At 43.1% G+C, this 21,434-nt stretch overlaps 1 protein-coding gene, 1 long non-coding RNA gene and 1 other non-coding gene across 9 annotated transcripts in view, besides 3 other annotated features; 2 read left to right on the top strand and 1 right to left on the bottom strand.

Annotated features, from left to right (window-relative positions):
• Positions 1–4,285: 4,285 nt before the first annotated feature.
• On the bottom strand, positions 4,286–8,705 carry LOC124903191 (uncharacterized). 2 transcript variants are annotated; one of them, XR_007063836.1, is made up of 2 exons: positions 7,142–8,705; positions 4,286–5,355 (listed from the first exon to the last, which is right to left on the bottom strand). It is a non-coding gene; the product is annotated as an uncharacterized LOC124903191 (long non-coding RNA). The 2 variants fall into 2 exon arrangements; XR_007063835.1 differs by having other exon boundaries at positions 7,312–7,711.
• Positions 6,911–7,410: an enhancer, noted in NCBI's record as "H3K27ac hESC enhancer chr13:95202297-95202796 (GRCh37/hg19 assembly coordinates)". NCBI's record gives its function as "activates a minimal SCP1, AML or CMV promoter by ChIP-STARR-seq in naive H9 embryonic stem cells {active_cell/tissue: H9 hESC(naive)}" and the evidence as "EXISTENCE:reporter gene assay evidence [ECO:0000049][PMID:30033119]".
• Positions 7,193–7,372: an enhancer, noted in NCBI's record as "active region_7865". NCBI's record gives its function as "activates an Ori minimal core promoter by ATAC-STARR-seq in GM12878 lymphoblastoid cells {active_cell/tissue: GM12878}" and the evidence as "EXISTENCE:reporter gene assay evidence [ECO:0000049][PMID:35858748]".
• On the top strand, positions 7,731–7,803 carry TRF-GAA1-5 (tRNA-Phe (anticodon GAA) 1-5). Its single transcript has one exon. It is a non-coding gene; the product is annotated as a tRNA-Phe (tRNA).
• Positions 7,943–8,172: a silencer, noted in NCBI's record as "silent region_5434". NCBI's record gives its function as "represses an Ori minimal core promoter by ATAC-STARR-seq in GM12878 lymphoblastoid cells {active_cell/tissue: GM12878}" and the evidence as "EXISTENCE:reporter gene assay evidence [ECO:0000049][PMID:35858748]".
• The window catches only part of DCT (dopachrome tautomerase), a 112,596-nt gene continuing 99,208 nt past the window's right edge, over positions 8,047–21,434 (top strand). For all 6 annotated transcript variants that reach the window (NM_001322182.2, NM_001322185.2, NM_001322183.2 and 3 more), the window contains exon 1: positions 8,047–8,283. The gene's annotated coding sequence lies outside the window, so the exon portion shown is untranslated. The remainder of the gene's footprint in view (positions 8,284–21,434) is intronic.

The raw sequence follows: 21,434 nt of genomic DNA, 5'->3' as shown, positions 1-21,434 counted from the left end.
GTGGTGGCTTTCTATAATCCCAGCTATTCGGGAGGCTGAGGCAGGAGAATCGCTTGAACCCAGGAGGTGGAGGTTGCAGTGAGCTGAAATCGCGCCATTGCACTCCAGCCTGGACCACAAGAGAGAAACTCCATCTCAAAAAAAAAAAAAAAAAAAGTGAGGGGTGTGAGGAGTAGGCCAGTGGGAGGAGATGGAGTTAAGGGATACAAATAAATAAATAAACAGGACTAGAGAAATGGATGAAAGCAATGGAAAGTGTTGGAAAGATTTCCCCTTTGCCTTTAGGGTTCAGTGGGTGGCGGGAGGGGCTGTGAATTAACTAAAAACAGACAGATTAATGGGAGAAAAATTTTAACTCACACGCATGTGGGAACATTCAAATGAAGAGGCTGGCTGAACAGCTAGGGATAAGGGTTTATATACCTGCTTAAGAGGGGGAAAGAGGGAGAGAGAGGACTTCTGTGGGAAATAAATGAGCTTTTAGGAGAGACAGATGGCTTTAGGGAAACAAACGGAAGGTAGGACAGTTTGTCATAATGTTTGTTTATGCAGTTTCATATCCCAGTGCTAATAGTCTCCTTCCTTGCTGGAAATTCCCCCAGAGACAGAGAGGACCTATGGCAGCTTCCTTCTTGGAAGGCTGTGCCTTTCCTCAGATAAGAGAAGCTCAGAAAAGGCTTCTTGCTTCATCTGTTGTATCTCAAATGTCTTCAGTTTAATCTTTATACCATTTTGGCGAGTTGCAAGTCCCTACAAAAGTCAAGAATGTGAAGCCCCTGGGAGGCTGAAAGGAAAACAGGACCAAAGTGCACAGGCATCTCTGAGTCGTGGCCTCCTTTTCTGAGCCCCCGGTCATTGGACATCAGCTGTGTACCTCACTGGGTTAACAGAAGAGACTGGTTGATTTATGCTTTCTGACATTTCTTTTTTGAATTATTAAGGGATTTAGGAAACTGTTGTGTTAAATTTATTTCATTTGATTTCTCTAGGTGAATAATCAGGCCTTATCCTTCATGGTTGAATAAGGGTAGGGTGGGAAGATGAGGAGATGGGGACAGAAATGCAGTTGGGAGTCTGGCCCACTTCATCAAAAGGCAGAGACAAGCAATTAAGCTAAGAAGTATTTAAAAAGCATCCAAGCCTCTGAAACTCAGGTTCTAGAATCCAAGTTTTCTGGCCTGTAGGGTATTGTGCAAAGTCCACATGATTAGCTAGGCGTTTGCTTGATGGATGTGGGAGGATTGGATTAGAACATATGAAAAGCTTGGTAGGTTGTTTCTGAGTATAATTTACTTAATTGTTTCTGGCCTGGTAAGTATACCCAGAGGCTTGATATTGATGTCTGTGATTCAACAAAAACAAAAAACAATAAGGTCTTTATGGACTTGTGGTTTAATGGCTTTAAATAAATTAACTTCTTTTGGATCAATTCAGCACACTGATGATCTTTGCAAGCTATTAATTTTTTTAAATACTTCTCCCCTAAGTTACAACTTTAATATATAACTTTGGAGGAATCGCTTTGTATCCATCAAGCAACTTCGTTCAAAAAGCATATACATGCCCATAAAAAAGCATCTGCAGGAGAAAACTGGGCCCTAGCCCTAGATTCAAGTTTGGGTTTTTTATTCTCATGCCAATTTTTCATTGAAACAGTCTTTATGAAAAATATTAAGAGTATTTGGTGCAAGGTAAGGAATATGCTCTATGGGTCAGCAGTCAGCGCTGTATCAGTTTGTGTAATTGCTGTGGACTAAAAAATATGTCCCCCCAAAATTAATATGTTGACACCCTAACCCCGATGTGACTGTATTTGGATGTAGCGTTTTTGGGAGGTAATGAAGGCTAAAGAGGTTGTAAGCGTGGGTTTCTAATCTGATAGGACTGATGGCCTTGTGAGATGTGGAAGCCTTCTCTCTCCACACGCATACACACACGGAGGAAAGGTCATGTGGGCACACAGAGAGGGTGGCCTCGGCAAGCCAGGAAGAGAGCCCTCACCAGGAACCCAATCCTCCAAAGCCTTGATCTTGGACTTCCCAGCTTCCAAAATGTGAAAAAATAAATTTCTGTTGTTTAAGTCACCCAGTCTACGGTATTTTGTTATGGCAGCCCGAGAAGACTGATACGGTAATCTCAAGCAAGTTACTTATTAGTGTCTCCGGAGCATTAGCGTAAAATTTGTGGTCAGGCGAAATAAATGCTAAATTCTCTTCCAGCTCTTAGCTATAGTATGATTCTAACTGAAATTGTCTTGGCTCAAGAAGACCGCCAAACATTATTTATTTATTTTTTTTATTTTAAAAACAAATCTGAGGGTATTTTTTTTTTTTTTTGACAGGGTCTCACTGTGTTACACAGGCTGGAGTGCATGGCATGATCACAGCTCACTGTAGCTTCTCCCTCCCAGGCTCAAGCGATTCTCCTGCCTTAGCCATTCAAGTCAAGTAGCTAGGACCACAAGTGTGTACCACCACACCTGTCTAATTTTTTAATTTTTTTTTTTAAGACAGAGTCTCTGTTCCCCAGGCTGGAATGCAGTGGCGTGATCTCAGCTCACTGCAACCTCTGCCTCCTGGGTTCAAGCGATTCTTTTGCCTCAGCCTCATGAGTAGCTGAGATTACAGGTGCCACGCCACCATACCTGCCTAATTTTTGTATTTTTAGTAGAGATGGGGTTTCACCATGTTGGCCAGGTTGGTCTTGAACTCCTGACCTCATGTGACCCACCTGCCTTGGTCTCCCAAAGTTCTGGGATTACAGGCCTGAGCCACCTCCCCCGGCCTAATTTGTTTTTTTTTTTTTTTGTAGAGACAGAGTTTCCCTATTGTTGCCCAGTCTGGCCTCAAACTCCTTGGCTCAAACGATCCTCTGGTCTCGGCCTCCCAAAATGTTAGGATTATAGGTGTGAGTCACCATGCTTGGTCTGAGTTTCAAATTTTTAGAAAAGTTATAAAATGATACAGAAGAATTCCATATACCTTTTACTCAGATACGCCAAATTTTAATATTTGTTTCTATTTTTTAATATTATCTTCATATATACACATGCATGTGTGTATATGTTTACATATATAATAATATGTATGCATACTATTATTTATTTTCAGAATCTATTTGAGAGTGGATTGTCTCTCATCCCTTAATAGTTCAGTATGTACTTCCTGAAACAAGGATATTTCTTACCTAACTATGGTTGCCAACTTCAGGAAATTTAGCACTGATAAAACACACTCATCTAATCTGCAGCTCATGTTCCAATTTCATTAGTTGTCCCAATAGCACCCTTTAAAGCATTTTCTCCTCCAGAATAGGAACCAGTCTGGGATTACACATTGCACTGAGTTGTGTTTCTTTCACCTCCTTGCATATGGAACAGTTCCTCAGCTTTTCTTTGCTTTCGTGACCTTAACAGTTTTGAATAATACAGGCCATTTATTTACTAGGATGACCTTTACTTGGGGTTTGTATAATGCTGCTCCATGATTAAAGTTAGGTTCTGCTTCCCTGCCTGGAGCACTGTGTGTGTTGTGTCTTTTACAGGGCATCACAATAGAAGGCATGTGATGACCGAATGTCCTACATTGGTGATGCTAATTTTGATGACCGGATCATGGCATTGTCCGTTTTCTCCACTGTGCAGTTTAAGCAATCTGTGGAGAAATACTTTGAGGCCATGCAATGATCCTGCTCCTCGTTTAACTGTCCCCCCTTAGACTTAACATCCATTGATGATTCTTGACTGAATCAATCTTTACTATGATGTTTGGAAAATGGTGATATCCCGTGCTACCACTACCTCCAAATTTGTCAGTCTGCACACTTCATTCAGCTATAAGAATCCTCAATTCCTCCCCTGCATCCACCACACAATTATTGTACTAAAGGACTTTTATTTTATTCAAAGGGTAAATAATCCATTAATATTCTTATTTATTTTGATGCTCAGATTGTCCCAGTTTTGGCCAGTAGGAGCCCCTTCAAACTGGTTCCTAGGTCCTTTTGACATACCCCCATCATTTTTAAAATACTTTAAAGAAATATTGATTAAAATCAGAGGCCCCCAAAAATGTGTGTGTGTGTGTGCATGTGTGTGTGTGTGTATGCATGTGCACTGCAGAATCCCAAGGAGCAAACTGAAGGAGAGATTAATTAACAGCCATTTAAATTTTTATCAGAAGTGGGGCACAGTTGTGTGTGTCTGTAATCCCAGCTACCTGGGAAGATCCCTTGAGCCCAGGAGTTCGAGACCAGCCTGGGCAATAAATGGAGCAAGACTCCCATCTCAAAACAAACAAAAAAACCCACAAAAATTTATTAGCTGTTATAACTATATGCAACATACTCTCTTCAGTTTTATTATTCTCAGATCTGCTAGTTAGTTCTCGTAATTAGCTGGTTTTTTTAATCATAGGTAATTAGACTGGAGTTGGCCAAAATCCGCGAGCTCATTTGGAAAACAGGACTGCAGCTTACACAGTTTCTTTCCAACACAGAGTCTTCTTCAACATCTTTATCCTCATTTTGAATGCCAACTTCTTTATCACCTGTCTCTTCTTACTATGATGTGTGTGCACAGATTTTCACTTCACTTTATTTAGCCTGTGGCGCTTGGTCTCCTTGGATGTTCTGACAGTTCTTCTTTGCGCTGCAATCTTGCTGAGTAAAGCAAGGTTTTTCCCAAACTCATAATAATTGTTTTTCGCTTTCTCTGTTCACAGGCAGCTCTTACTGTCTCAGTAATTTTTTCCAATGCCCCCAGGCCAAAAGAAATGCCGAACAATTCCTTTTATTAAGTACTCAGGTCCAAATAACTTAATAAGGATTTATGTCCAACAACTTCGTAGCCACTTGAAAAAAATTATACATATAAATTGAAAGAAAAGTTACACTTTTATTTCATTCTTTTTTTTTTTTTCAAGGGCAGCCTCCCAAGCCAGAGTAGGCTCAGAGACTCCCTAATTTCATTCTCACCACAGTTAACTTACTGGTGGGATGTGTGTATCCTGGACAGTGTACAATTTCTCAAGCTTGGAAACAGATTGGACATCTCAACCCTAATTTCATATTCCCCATTGATTCATGGGTACTTTTTATCATGCTGAAAGAGATGACATCACTGATAGAAATGTAATCTCTTGCCAAAACAATGAACTACTGGGTAGTTTGCATAGCGTCCCACAGATGCCAAGCATCGCTGTGTTTCTCTCAAAAATGTGAAATATTCTTCAGTGCCCCAGGTGGCTGCAGTTTCGGGACCGTGGCACTAAGTCCCAGAAACTTTCGGTCTCCTTTGTAAAACAGCAACAATAAATATTGGGTTGATGTTGAAGATCTTTTCACTAACAGGAAAACCTAGGGAGAAACCCGGAGAGCATCAAGCTGAGGCTTTCACAAAGTTAATAAAGTAGGTGATCACATTGTTTATTTATCTTCCAGTCATTCCAAAACACTTCTAACTGTTTTTTGTTGTTGTTGTTTTGTTTTGAGACAGAAAGTCTCGCTCGGTCACCCAGGCTGGAGTGCAGTGGCACAATCTCCGCTCACTGCAACCTCCGCCTCCCAGGTTCAATTGATTCTCCTGCCTCAGCCTCCCGAGTAGCTGGGATTACAGGTGCACGCCACCATGCCCGGCTAATTTTTGTATTTTTAGTAGAGATGGAATTTCACCATGTTAACCAGGCTGGTCTTGAACTCCTAACGTCAAGTGATCCACCTGCCTTGGCCTCCCAAAGTGCTGGGATTACAGGCATGAGCCACCGCGTCCAGCCTTACTTTTAACTGTTTAACAGTGAAGAGGCTACTACCATGGAGAGTTCCGGGACAACATATATAAACAAGGACTTTCCTGGATACCCAGCTTATCCAAGACATCTCTCACAACACTTACTTTCTAAAATCAACTTTTACTAAACAAATGATCACTATGACAATGTAGTGTCTATTATCTCACAATTTGCCAAGGGTTCTCATCGCATTAAATCACAAAGCAATGTTTCTTGGTTGCACTCTTCCTTCTCCTCTCTCTCTTATCCTGTTCCTCCATTTTCCATTAGATCCTGCTTGGACCTTTGCTACCCATCCCCACCCCCAGCCTAAATCCCATCAAAACTTACCTGCCACTTTCCTAGTTACCTAGGATTTCATTTCCCAGGTGACAATGCACGAAGCAGCTGGTTTGCAGGTGTGACTACGAGACCAAGAAAGAGAGACACTAACACCATGTCCCAGCCCGTACATGTGTTATCCCATCACTCTCTAACATATATTTTGAGACTTCCCAGATTTGATTTTTAACCTAAAGACACAACTTTTGTAAAATTTAAGAAGCTGAGCTATCTCATGATTGAATCCAGTAAGGAACAGCCGGCCAGCAGCCCAAGAGTTGTTGAAAATAATTCGTCTTGCCTGCAGTGTTTTGAGGAGAATGGGAAAGGTAGCTACATTCATAACATACATGAAAGCCTGTTAAAGGTCTCTTTCCCCATCTCTTTTTAGATGTACGATCCTCACAGGGTGGCTGCCCAAAATTTCTCCCTCTTCCACTCCAAGCTCCCCAAACCCTTCTCTGAACTCTGCCCAGCCCCAAGCTCTCTTTGGTCTCTCTCTCATCCTTAGCTGCTGACTTCTGTTAAATCTCAAGCTCTTTGGTTTCTTTGGATTTAAAAGGCAGCTATGCTAACCACTATACCATCAACGCCTCGGCTCTTTTTTGGATTTGGCACAATAAAGGAACCCAGAAAGAAACTCTCTTTCTTATAAGGGAGGAGGCTTGGCGGAGAAAATAGAGATTGCAAAAATTTCTAATTTTGTATTTTTTTCTCTTTCGCATTTGAAGTCAGCCATCCATCCATCCATCCAACCATCCATCCATCCATCCAACCATCCATCCATCCATCCTATCCATCCATCCGTCCAAATTGGCTGCGAAGTTTCCACTTAAATGCAAAGCTCTAAAGAGCCGGGTAAGATCCCTGCCTTGACAGATTACAATTTAATTGGCGACAAAAATTAAAAAATGGAAAAAGTAAGACGTTTGGGAAGTAAAGAATGAGCCTGGCACGTAGTGGGTGCTTCGGAAACATTTGTTGACTCGTGTGGGAAATAGCATTGACTGAATAATCATCGTTAGTGAGCTCACCCAGCATTTATTTGCCAGTCAGGCTCCATGCAAAGAGGTGATGATTAAGGTGGACATTTCCCGGGCCCGGAGCACGGAGAGGCTGCAAACTCCTCTCCAGAGGCCAGTCTGACGATTCCTGCCCCGTACACTCCTTCATCCAATCGTATTGGGCCTACACGGCTCCTCACCTGGGGCCTGGAACTTTTCGGGGAGCAAGGTGACGAATGTGGATAGTCACAGGCAGGGGCAGATCGAAGGGAAGGGGCTACCAGGCCTGGGCAGGAGCTCCCCGAGGCGACCCCGCTGCTTCGGATCTCGCGGGGACCGGCCCTGGGAGGACGGAACCAGCATCCCGAGGAGCCGCCATCGGGGGCCTGGACCCAGCTCCTGGACCGTGCGGGCTGCGCGCGCCGAGAGCAATCTAAGAAAGTAAGGCGCGTGTGCAGCGCCCAGTGGCAGCGTAGAAGGAGGGAGGTGGAAGAATTCCGACGACACCGTTTAACAGGACAAGGAAGAAATGCTGTACATGATCACCAGGAAAAGACAAGCAAGCCAGTTGGACGCAAAGCGCTCAGTGATAGTTTACTCAGGAGACAACCCAGAACGTGCCGAAATAGCTCAGTTGGGAGAGCGTTAGACTGAAGATCTAAAGGTCCCTGGTTCGATCCCGGGTTTCGGCAGCTACTTTTAAATTCTGACCTCAAAAACTCAAATTTTGTAAGACTCTCCGTCCACGATACCCTGGCCCATTCCTTCAAGCCCAAGCAAAAACTGAGATTTGAAGGGTGAAGGAGGAAATGAAACAGTCGTTCCTAACCACCCCCAGGAGCGAGGCCGCGCCGCATAGCCCTTCTGGGCCGTCTCCTGGCGGGGCTAGAAGAAGCTGCCGCGCGTGCGCGCCACGGAGCCTGGTGCTGGGACCCAGAGGCACCCTCGGCGCCGGAAGACGCGAACGACCCGGGCCGCGGTGGCGAGACGGGGCCGCGCGCCGCCTGGGGGGCTGGTGTGAGACCCGAGGCTCCGATGGGAGGAGGTCTGGTCTGTCCACGGGGCCAGCAAAACACCTTCATCCCAATTTCATCGCATTCCTTCTAAGTATCCGAATTTGAAGAAAAAGCAAAACTGTTGAGTGGTCAGATGGCCCCCACCTGGCGTTGCCGGTGAGCGGAACCCAGTGCTGGTTATTTCTGGCTAGAGGCGCACCGAGGCCGGCCCTGGGTCTGGCCCTGGGGTGGCGCCACCAGGTTACTTGCCCACCGGTGAAGGATGGCAGCTTTACAGCTCCCCGACGCATCAGACTAAAGAACGTTGGCCAGGGTCTGCACCGGTGGTTCTCAAAGTACAGTCCCCAGATCCGCAGCATCAGCACCGCCTGAGAACTACTTAGAAATGCACATTCTCGGCCCTGGATAGGCAGCTCTGGCAGTGGGGCCTAGCAGCGGGTGTTTAAACAAGCCACGGGTCTAGACGTTCCTTTCTGTTTCTAAAAGAGGCCTTGCTTTCCTAAGACAGTTGCTGTGAACCAGCTTTTTCCTTTTGCTGTCTTGCCCCTGCAAGTGTGAAATAGAACTTTGACCCGTGCTCGAAATTACTTTCTGAGATTTTTTTTTGTTTTCACGTGTGGGTGGACGTGGGTACTCAGGGGCATCAGCTTCCCAGCTACCTGTGGGAGCCCACCCCAAGGCCAAACTGGGTGTCCTAGAAAGAAAATGGAGGCCCAGGCACCTGATGTTATCTTGTATGGCTGGTGGGAACTGAGCCAGGACCCAAGGGGAGAAGTTGCAGGGATGTAGATCTAAATTTTAAAAATAAGAAATATCTATCTATTTGTGTCGTAGGAAAATAGAATAGTCAGTTTAGTGAGGTGGCGGGTTGCTGGACAGCAGATGAAGGACCATTGTGAGATGTATGCTTAGGTCTTGCTTGTTTTCTGGTTCTGCTGTTTTGAGGGGGAAGGGAAACTCATATTTATGAACTACTGTGTGTTCTCTCTTATTCATTCATTCTCTAATTGGACATTAATTCCTAACCTCCCACTACGAGCCAGCATTATTTGCTCTTCATAACAACCTTATGAAGTACATATTATTATCCCCATTTTATACATAACAGCCTTTCCAGGGTTGCAAGAATTAAGCATAAGCTATGTCTGTTAGACAGCTAACATTGCTACCTCCTAAATGTTACTGTAAGTGAAAAGCTGTTGAGATGTGTAGTCAAGACAGGTGTGCATAAACATACAGGTACTTGTATGAGGGAAATAAAAGTTTTTGTCTGGCTCACCAGAAAAGGCTCTATGGAGCAGTGGGTCCTCACCCAGAGAAGATATATATATATATATATATTTTTTTTTTTTTTTTTTTTTTTGAGACGGAGTTTCACTCTGACGCCCAGGCTGGAGTGCAGTGGTGTCCCAGGTTCAAGGGAGTGTCCTGCCTCAGCCTCTCGAGTTGCTGGGATTACAGGCACCCGCCACCATGCCCGGCTAATTTCTGCATTTTTTGTAGAGATGGGTTTTTGCTATGTTGGCCAGGCTGGTCTTGAACTTCTGACCTCAAGTAATCCACCCGCCTTGGCCTCCCAAAGTGCTGGGATTACAGGCATGAGCTAGTGTGCCCAGCCAAGATTTCTTAGGTATGGAAAGATTTAACAGGAGTGCCACCAGCTATCACATTTCTAAAGAGTAGGGAAAGGATGCAGGTTCTGGGGTGATAGTGACTTTCATTTCAGACAACCTGAGGTCTGAGCACTCTGCCCAAGGTAATGTTAGTGATGGTGAATCTATGCGGGTCTGCAGCAACCTCAATTCTTGCCTCCTCAGAAGAAAGAATTCGACTGAAGGGCATAAGGCAGAGTGAGAGATGAACACAAGTTTTACAGCGGGAGTGAAAGTTTTTAAAAAGTTTAGAGCAGGGTCAGGCACGGTGGCTCATGCCTGTAATCCCAGCACTTTGGCAGGCCGAGGTGGGCGGATCACTTGAGGTCAGAAGTTTGAGACCAGCCTGGCCAACATGGTGAAACCCCATCTCTACTAAAAATACAAAAATGAGCTGGGCGTGGTGGTACAAGCCTGTAATCCCAGCTACTCGGGAGGCTGAGGCAGGAGAATCCGTTGAACAGGGGAGGTGGAAGTTGCAGTGAGCTGAGATTATGCCACTGCGCTCCAGCCTGGGCAACAGAGTGAGACTGTCTCTTAAAAAAAAAAAGTTTAGAAGCAGGAATGAAAGGAAGTAAAGTACACTTGGAAGAGGGCTAAGCGGGCAAATTGAGAGATCAAGAGCCCTGTTTGACCTCTGACTTAGGGTTTTATACACTGGCATTTCTGGGGTCTTGCATCCCTTCTTCCCTAGTTCTTCCCTTGGGGTGGGCTGTCGCATGCACAGTGGCCTGCTAGTGCTTGGGAGGGAAGCATGCACAGTGTGTTTACTGGCGTTGTACCCATGCTCACTTGAGGCATTCTTCCTTTACCAGCTGAATGTTCCTAGAAGGTCATGTACCAGTTAAATGCTGCCATTTTGCCTCTTAGTGCGCATGCTTCAGCTTACTCGCCCAACTCCTAAGATCTTATCAGGAAACTGATGATGACCAGTTTCAGGTTTTTTCTGTTTGGAGCCTGCCTTTCCCTAGGGCTGGCTGCGACCAATTACCGTTTTAGGGAAACAGTGTAACAACCACTTGCCCACCACCTGTTGGTCTCCTGACATTCCTTGGTGGGGAGGGGGGCTCTCCTGCTGTGCTCATGCCTGACTAGCTCCCTACTGTAACAGGAAGACCAGCTACTGGCTATTGGTGTGGGTGGGGGAAGGATGGAGGCGCACACCTGGTTAGTACCAAAGATAAACCAGACACTAGGTAACGTGGTAAGGACAGATGGTAATCATAATGTACTATTGCAATAGGGAAGAGGGTCCAGCGTGAACTGAACTTTGATTTGTACAGAGGTGACTGGGCATTTTAAGGGACAATGAGGGATTAACGGAGAGGAACCAGTGGGGCTTCAGCAGAGTCAGGAAGGTGAAAACTGACAAAGGATTGACGCATGTAAATGCTGATTAGGCAGCTGTGTCTGCTAGCTGGCAATGATCAAAGTCTGGATTCTGTCCTTCCAGAGACTGGGAGACACTGGCCCTATCCTTCCTGATGATTACATTGTAAAGGAATGGTTTTTTACGTCCTTGATTGCCTTTGTAGGAGATACACAGCCATCTCAAAGGCACAGAGGAAGGAGTCACAATTGTAAGCCCTTTTTAGTAAGTACTCTAAGAAAGTGCCAGAAGCCTTTCATCAGATGGTGCATAGAATTCTTTTGTCAGTCTTGGGCTTTCTCAAGCAGGCACTCTGAGGGGGTTGAGGCCTGGTCTAGAAGGGGGCTCAGAGAGGCCTGGCTAGCATTTGGTCAAGGAGAAAATCTGTGTCATTAGAAGTGTGAGGAGGGGAGGGTGAAGGGGAAGAGTTAGGCCAGGCCTCCACCTGTTGGTTGAGAAGGCTTTTCAGGTCTTGTGACAGGGAGGAGTGATCGGGAAGCAGGTGGGCAGCATTAAAAAAATACACACACCGCTTATATATATGAAATGAAGGAAGACCACCATGTGAGAAAGCAAAGGCTGTTTATTCAGAGCTTGCTATAGCGAGGGAGTCAGCCACCATCACTGGCATTTGGGAGAGACTCAAAGGCAGGCAGGGGAGTGGGAGAGCTTTACAGCAGACACAAGGGACAGCTTCAGGTGTGCCCTGATTGGAGGCTGTTGGTCTGGGAAGCTGGAGTTAGCTAACTGGGAGCCGGCAGCCATGTGATTATTTAAGGCGCCTTTTGTGGTTGGCCTAAAGTTGGAAATGAGGACAAAAACTAGGAAAGCTGTCAGTTATTAATCAATTCCTGGTCATTTGGAATTAATTATTATAAAAGTTATTGTTTAGCTTCTCAGATTGTTATTTCCCAGACTTCTTGCAAGTCTGGCTTTAGCAGACGGGCTTGCTGGACTGTTTATTGTAGATAAGGGGCTGGTTTCCTGGGCAGGTTATGGTCACAGTTCTGTTTTTATATATGGTCTGACCATGGCCCATTTGGATCTTTGGTTTTATAATATATATTTTACCTGAAGAGGTAACATCTAAAAATGTAATCTGATCATTTTTATCATCATCATCTGAAGCGTGATGTGCTCTAATAGATGTCAAACACTGTCACTTCCCGGGAGTGAAGGCTGAGAAAGACTGAACACCAGGTATCTCCTGGGAACCCCACTGATGCCATGATCACACTTTATAACTTAGGAGGCTATGAAGGGTGAAGGGTGGGAGAATAGGGTCGCCACTTACTTTAGAGAAGGAATGCTTTCAGTGGGAAAGAACACCATCATCATTAAACATTTTTTTGTTGTTGTTTTTTTGAGACCGAGCTGCTATAATTGTTATACATAATAAAACCAGATGAGTATTTAGTAATTCATTAAGGCCTTTTGTGTCATCAATGTGTACATATATTAATGCTCATTTCATTAGTCTTGGATCATAATTCTCCTCTTTTAAATGGATGGTGGTTTATAGTTTACTTTTGTTATACTATTTGTCATATCTCAGATTTATTTGATGTTGAGTCCTTGGCCAGAAATAAAACTTCTGTGTGGATTTACTACAGATTCCAGGAATATACAGTTCCTGTACAATCATCCTTCATATATAGTGTCACAGTGGATTACTTTGTTTAACTTCCTTTTCTAATGGATCATCTTGGAGGATAGTCTGCAGTCCCTGCTTAGGCGAGGGCCCACAGACAGCCCTGCAAATAAAGCTGGACAGGCTGAGCAAGGGAACAGCTCTTCATCTCAGACGCCAAATGCACACTTTAGCTCTGTAAATTCCAGTGTTCCTATAATGAGTTGTCTTAAAGCAGGGAGCACAAATATTTTGCTATTCACTACCTAAATATTTCCTACAATGCATCTTGAGCAAACCCGCTTTCCCCACGTATTTCACTGACTCCCTAGTCCAAAGTATCAAAAATAATGAAAAATGATAGTCACCGTTTATGGAGTGTTCTCTATGTGCCGGGCATTCTGATAAGCACTTTTCATACAAAATCCCATTAAACTTGTCAATAATCCTTTGAGATAGGAGGCATAGTTGAATACAAATAAATAAAAAAAAATACATGCTACTAGGAATGCTGTTGTGAAAAATCAGCATAATTCTGAGATGTACTAAAATGAAACATGAGCTCTAAGTATAAAGTATTAGTTCTTCTTTCATACATTGCATTAATGAGATCCATAAAGAGCATTTTTTTTTTTTTTTTGAGACAGAGTCTTGCTCTGTCGCCCAGGCCAGAGTACAGTGGCGTGATCTCGGCTCACTGCAACCTCTGCCTCCTGGGTTCAACCAATTCTCCTGCCTCAGTCTCCTGAGTAGCCAAGATCACAGGTAACCACCACCATGCCCAGCTAATTTTTGTATTTTTAGTAGTGATGGGGTTTCACCATGTTGGTCAGGCTGGTCTCAAACTCCTGACCTCAGGCGATCCACCTGCCTTGGCCTCTCAAAGTGCTGGGATTACAGGCGTGAGCCACCGTGCCTGGCCATTTTGTTCAGTTTTGATTAACTCAACTTAAAAGGAAAGGATTAACAAAGAATAACAACATGATTAGGAAGGGGAGATTCATTTTAAAAATGGATATGAAGTAAATTTGCCAAGAGGAAAGAAGCTAAGGGTAATTTGATTACTATTTTTTCAGTAGTATATAATTTCTAGGAAGATATCACAAGAAGGAATGGGCTCAGATAAAGGCAGGAGAGATTTCTATTAGAGAAAGACAGGAACTGTTCTGTCAGGGTGATAAGATTGTTTGACCTAGTTGTGTTACAGGAAAGTATCCATCTAAGATTGGGTGAGCTAGACAACTGCTGTCCAATAGCCACGTCTGTGTTCAAATAGGACTGCTAGCCAACTTTTGGCACTTTTGAAAAATCTTCTGAGTTGTGGTTTCTTTGTGCTTGCTGCTGCTGATGGTTCAGGAAGGAATGGTGTGGATTGGCATGAGGTGTGCGCAGGGGTAGAGACAAAAAGGGTGGTGGCCTCACCGGATGAATTCTATTACCTCGTTATCTCTTAACACTAAGTGACTAGAAGCAAAACCAGCATCTGTCCCTGCGGCTGTGATGAGTTAGTGTGCACATCATAATCATGTGCCCTAGTCAGGCAAAAACAGAAAGCACTTGGCATCCTGAGATAAACCAAAAGAAACCATCCAACAGGATAACCCTGTCCGGTTAGAGGCCCCTTAATAAATGAAGCCATGAGACTTTCCTGAAAGTTACTTATTCTATGTCAAAGAATTTTTTCCATGACCAGTTCAAAGCTAATGTATGAAAACGTCCTTTGTAAATAAGCTACTGTGACAAAATTGCTGTTTTCCCACCGTGAACAGAGAAACTGTGTCCTTGGCAACATTGGTACTCTCGTGTGTGAACATGGGTGTGTTTTGGTTTTTTGGGTTTATTTCAGGGTTTCCTGTTTGTTTTTGTTTTGTGTTTAAGCTAGACTTTTGAAAGCCTGGACACCCTTGTTTAACTTTCATGCAAGTAAATTACTTTTTGTTTTCCTAAATGCTTTTCACAGAGCTGGTCCCAGAACAAAACATCTGCTTAAAGATAGACTCAGTGTTAGAAAAGTAAAAATCGGAGAACTTCGATTGAGCCCCAGGCAAATGGAAAGGTGGGGAATTGAACGCATGAAGCAGGAGGCAGTATGTGATGAGAATTAAGAGAAGAAAATTGCCATTCCATCCTCAGTGGCCTTGTGTGAAGGGAATGGGCATTTAAAGATGGAACGGGCCAGGTGCTGTGGCCCTGTAATCCCTTACACCTGTAATCCCAGCACTTTGGGAGGCCGAGGCGGGCGGATCACTTGAGGTCAGGACTTTGAGACCAGCTTGGCCAACATGGTGAAACCTTGACTCGACTAAAAAAATACAAAAATTAGCTGGTCATGGTGGTGTGCACCTGTAGTCCCAGCTACTTGGGAGGCTGAAGTGGGAGAATTGCTTGAATCCAGGAGGTGGAGGCTACAATGAGCCAATATTGCACCACTGCACTCCAGCCTGGGCAACAGAGTGAGACCCTGTCTCAAAAAAAGAGATGCAATGCCTGAGAATTCTTGGTAAGGGTTGAGACATGTTAATGTTTGAAGTGCTTGTATAGTAACACAGACTTTTAAATGATGTGCCCTGGTAAAGGGGAAGCGTATATGCTGCTAGTCTGTTTCATGTCAGTTTCATGATTACCTGGAGGGAAATTTGATAGGCAAGTAGACTCCATAAAATTACCTAGAAAATGGGTATTGAGGTACTATATAAATTTACCTGTATGAAGGCAAATGATGGTACTGATGTTTTCCTAAAATCCATGGTCCTGCCTCTGGAGTCCCTTCCAGCTGCAATGACCCGTGTGTAGCCAGCACAGAGCCCCTTCCCTCCACGTTTGTGTGGTTCTCTTTGAATTAAAAACATTTTTTATGGACACATAATAGTCATACGTATTTATGGGGTACATGTGATGTTTTGATACAAGCATACAAAGTGTAATGATCAAATTAGGGTAGTTGGGATATCCATCACCTCAAACATGTATCATTTCTTTTTGTTGGGAACATTCCAAATCCACTCCTCGAATTACTTCAAAATATATTAGGTGGGTGCAGAAGTAATTGCAGTTTTTAAAGTTGCAAAAACCACAGTTACTTTTGCACCAACCTATGCAATAAATTATTGTTAACTATAGTCACTTTATTATGCTATCAACACTAGATCTTTTTTTTTTCTTTTTTTTTTGAGACAGGGTTTCGCTCCTGTCACCCAGGCTGGAGTGCAATGGCATGATCTCAGCTCACTGCAACCTCTGCCTCTTGGGTTCAAGTGATTCTCCTGCCTCAGTCTCCCGAGTAACTGGGATTACAAGTGCCCACTACCACGTCCAGCTAATTTTTGTACTTTTAGTAGAGATGTGGTTTCAGCATGTTGGCCAGGCTGGTCTTGAACTCCTGACTTCAGGTGATCCACCTGCCGCGGCCTCCCAAAGTGCTGAAATTACAGGCGTGAGCCACTGTGTCCAGCCTGAATACTAGATCTTATTCCTACTATCTAACTGTATTTTTGTGCCCATTAGACAACACCTCTTTATCTCCACCTCCCCACTACTCTTCTGAGCCTTTGGAAACCATCAGTCTACTCTCTATCTCCATAACATCAATTTTTTAGCTCCCACATATGAGTGCAAACATGGGTTGCTTGTCTTTCTGTGCCTGTGATATTTCACTTAACATAATGTCCTGCAGTTCCACCCACATTGTTGCAAATGACAGGATCTCATCCTTTTTTATGGCTGAATAGTGTGTAAGTACCACATTTTCTTTATCCATTCATCTGTTGATGGACACTTAGATTGAGTCTGTATTTTAGCTATTGTGAATAATGCTGCAATAAGCATGGGAGTGCAGACATTTATTGGATATACTGATTTCCGTTCTTTTGGATATTTACCTAGTAGTGGGATTGCGGGATCATATGATATTCTATTTTTTTTGTTTTTTGAGGACCCTTCATAGTGTCCTCCACAATGATTGTACTAATTTATGTTCCCACCAACAGTGTACGAGGGTTCCCCTTTCTCCACATCCTCACCAGCATCTGTCTTTTCGATAAAACACATTTTAACTGGGGTGAGATAATATCTCATTGGGTTTTGATTTGCATTTCTTGGATGATTAGTGATGTTGAGCATTTTTTCATGTACCTGTTGGCCATGCGTTTGTCTTCTTTTGAGAAATGTCTATTCACATCTTTTGCCCATTTTAAAATCAGATTATGTGCTTTTTTGCTATTGAGTTCTTTGAGTTCCTTACATGTTTAGTTCTCTTTGATCTCCCACAGTCTTTCTCATCTTTACAAAGCATCTGTAATTATTGATTCTACTTTTCAGGTGGTGTCTTAAATGGCCCAAGGAATATGTTTTTCTAACACTTGGACAATGTGACCAAAGGTTTATTCTCTTTCTGCAACTCTTAGTGCCCAGAGCAGAGCATCTATTCCACGATTTGTCCTTTCTTTCTTCCTTCTCATCCTATCTTCTTTTTCTATCTCTTTCTTCCACCTCAGAGATCTATTCTCACATTTAAGAGTTGGAAATTTGAAACAATGTTTTACATTAAACACATTTTTTTTTTTAGAATTGATAATTGAGCTACATGGTGGGAAATTCAATCAGAAAAGGAAGTACACAATGAAAAAGAGTCTTTCCTGTAGCTCTAAGTTCCCCTCTGCAGAGGCGATCTTTGTTACTGGCTTTTAGTGTATTTGTTCATAAGTAATTGTTGTATGTCTATGTACACATTTCTATATATATATATCACATTTAAAACAAACAGTATCATTATTATGCACACCATTGTAAAGCTTTTATCTAAAGATGCACATTACTTCTCCTTTGAATGCTGACAACACCATACTTTTCCTTTCTCCCTTTTTTTTTCTCACCGATTCTAAACCTGAGCTGAGCTTTCAAACCATATTTTTGTATTCAGAGGCAGTCTCACCCAATAGCAATCATGTTTATGTTCCCTAATTGATTCAAATTCTAAAGATAATGTTGGAAAGGAATTTAATTTTAAATCCATAAATTATATCTCTATTTGAATAGTCTGATCTCTTATCCCAGGAACAATTATTTTACAAACAATAATTTTGTCATTTGTAAAATAAATAAAACCATAAAAATTTGGTTTTATTTCTTTTACAAAAGGAAGAGCTGATTTGTTGCGCAGGTTTAGCTTTGAGTATGCAGGAATGAAATCCAGGTGTACAGTAACACAGAAGAAACATTCCTCTTTTAAGCATTTTCTAATAATAGGTTGGTAAATTGCTCATAGAGAAATGCACTCAGATGCCTGTTTATTTCATATCTTATTCCTTTAGCGTCACCTTAATTCCTACTTACCTTTCAAGTTCTCTCAGGTTTTTCCTCTTCATGAAAAGTTTTCCATAGTTTAAGCTAATATCCAGCTCTTCCCACTCTGACCATCCTGAGAGCTTGCCGTCTGCTATGCTCTGGGCATGTGATCCTGTCCCAACTTTCATTCTCTGTGTTGAATGTGTGCTTTCTTCCTCATAGCAAAATTCTACTGCCCCTCAAAAGGTGGGTTTGATTTCAGGAAGAATTTTCATGTTCTAGTAACAAAGCAGGGGACTAAGAATTTTGTGAAAAGTCATAAAAAGTCTATTGGAGTTCTTTGGAAATGCAGGTGTTAATGTGTCGCCTGGTGGTGGTCGGGACTGAAAGATGTTGTGTGACCTGGAATAGCTGGAGGGGTGTGGGCTGATAACCCCTAGAAGCTAGAGTAGTGCTGGGCTCTTAGAACAAAAGGAAAAGGGTAAGGACAACAGGGAGAGCCAAACCGCACAGATAGAAACAGACAAATCCTAAGAGTGAGGGAGGAGAAGCAGCTGAGTAGCTTAGACAGTTTATCTAACATGTTAGGATGGGGAAGCTTCTGAAAATGATCTTCATCCCAGGTAAAGAGAGAAACTGCAACAAGAGAGACTGAATGCAACTTCATTCTTTTTCAATCTGAGGTCTCAGTTGTATTTGTGATGGGCAGTGGACAGCCCATAACCTGAACGAACCTGGCTGAAAAATCCAAGTTCAGGGCTCAACACAACGGTCTATGGTTTATACCCTTGAATTCTTACATTGTAGCAAAGACGGATAATGCACCAAGTCCATCTGCTTTTCTCACTACAATAGATGAAGAAGAGGGGGAGATGTGGTATAAAAGGAGGCAGGGGAGAAGGCTAATACCAAGGTATTGGGGCTATGTGTATACATATGGCTTGGCGGGGAGGGGTGGTGGGAAGCACAGCCTCTGGAGGCAGGCTGCCTGGGCCAGAGCTCCAGGCTCACCCCCTGCCTGTGTAATATCCAGAAGTTCCGTAACTCTTCTTTGTTTCAGTCTCCCTGTCTGTAAAATGGAGAAAAATAAAAATCCTTATTTTATAGGGCTAGTGTGAGAATTAAATAAGATAATCCATGAAGAGTGCTTGGCATGTAGTCAGGCAGGTCCTGCAGGCTCAGTAAGCACTCTCTACAAGCTCCACCCTTCTTTCAGGAGTCACTTTCCGCAACATCTCATCTTGGCTGCCCGAGAAAACTTAGCTGTTTCTTCCATCCTGTACTCCCTATACCTTATCCACACAATAACCTGGATATCATCTTCTGGTTGTGTATTTTATTGGTCTGATTTTCTGACTGGCTGCTATTATCTCCTTAAGGTCAGGATTCACATGACTAGCAGAAAACTCATAGTAGGTGCTCAATGCATTTTTGTTGAATGAGTAAGAGTACTTCTCCTCTTTTTTCATCCTGCCAATGGTGGGTCACCACTGCATCATAATCCTTGGCTGTACTTGTTTTTATTATATTTCCTAACATGAGAATCAACTCTTCTGAGAGCCTACACTGACGTTCTTATTCCTTTTCCACATCTTATGTCACCTAGCCAAGTGCCAGAAACATTTTAGGTTCTCAAGAATTGCTTGTTTACATCTATTGACTTAACAGTAAGCAACTATTTCAGGACTAAAAAGGTTGTATGGTTAATTTAAGGTTATGGATGATTTTCAGTGTTTTCGTTTTTATTTGTTTTTTTTTCTCACTTGCATAATTTGTAGAAAGCAATAAAAAAGGCTCTACATCTTCTTCAACATGGCAGCACAGGAGAGCAGGAAGCTGTAAGTCTTTGTTAGTACTTCAAAAAGATCATGGGATTGTCTTAATCTAACAGAGACAGAGACAAGTTTAGGCAGTTTAGGAACGGCCATCTGCCAGGACACTAACTTGGGTTAATTTAGGTTGTAATCCTATGAACCAGGATCATAGTCACACATTACATGGTTGACATTCAAAAAATGTCTTAGCAACAACAGCATTCTCCCCATCTTTCAAGTTACTAGATGTTCTGACTGCTATTTTTAAATGGAAGGTTTGAAGAACTTTCTAGAGAAATGAGATTTGGGAAACCTTTCAGATGTAACTGAGATTGAGAACTAAAGATTTTGTGTTCAGAGAAATTTAAAGAAACTAACAGTCTGGCACAAATAGATACATGTCCTAATAATGGAAACATTTTACTTGATCCGCCAATTACCAATTCAATTATTCTTACAGGGTTACCAGGTGTGTTAGCTTGTTTTGCATTGCTATAAAGGAACACGTGACACTGGGAAATTTATAAAGAAAATAGATTTATTTGGTTCATGGTTCTGCAGGCTGGGCAAACATGGCACCCACACCTGCTCAGCTTCTGGTGAAGTGTCAGGAAGCTTTTTTGTTTTTGCTTTTGAGGTGGAGTCTCTCTCTGTTGCCCAGGTTGGAGTGCAGTGGCGCAATCTTGGCTCACTGCAACCTCTGCCTCCTGGGTTCAAGCAATTCTCCTGCCTCAGTCTTCAGAGTAGCTGGGATTACAAGCTCCCACCACTACACCTCCGCTAATTTTTGTATTTTTAATAGAGAAGGGGTTTCACCATGTTGGCCAGGCTGGTCTCGAACTCCTGGCCTCAGGTGATCTACCCATCTCGGCCTCCCAAAGTGCTGGGATTACAAGCGTGAGCCACCGTGCCCAGCCAGGAAGCTTTTATTCATGGCAGAGGGTGACACAGAGGCAGATGTGTCACATAGCGGGAGAGGGAGCAAGAGAGAGGAGGTACCAGACCCTTTTTAACAACCAGCTCTCATGTGAAAACTCATAGACTGAATATTAAATCATGACCATGGGGAGGGCACCAACCCATTCATGAGGGATCCACCCCAAGACCCAAACACCTCCCACCAGGCCCCACCTCCAACACTGGGGATCACATTTAAACATGAGATTTGGAGGGAACAAACATCCAGACTACATCACTAGGTTACACTGGGTTGGTCTTTAGCAGGCATGTTTGGGAGGTCCCCTTTGAAGAGCAGCTTCTTGGAGGCATCACAGGCCCTGGCTGCTCCCAGAACATTACTCTGTCCAATGTCAATGTTAAATCATCAGGTCCAGGCCTTTTGGTACATGGCATCCTTGAGGGTCGGATCTATCAACCCTGGTCCTAAACTGTATCGACCATTGGCTCCTGGTTGCAGCCACATTTCTGAACACAACCTTTTGTCTCCTGGACCTTAAATAAAAGGCTAAATTTTTCTAAATCTGGAAAGATTTTGTCATTTACTGGCTTCTGAGCTAGTTCTTGAGATCATTTGGAAGCACTAGCAAACTTTTCTGTGG

This window comes from Homo sapiens, chromosome 13 (genome assembly GCF_000001405.40).
Source record: "Homo sapiens chromosome 13, GRCh38.p14 Primary Assembly".
Lineage (NCBI taxonomy): Eukaryota > Metazoa > Chordata > Mammalia > Primates > Hominidae > Homo > Homo sapiens.
The sequence above is the reverse complement of the archived record's forward strand: the minus strand, read 5'-3'. Positions and strand labels throughout refer to the sequence as shown.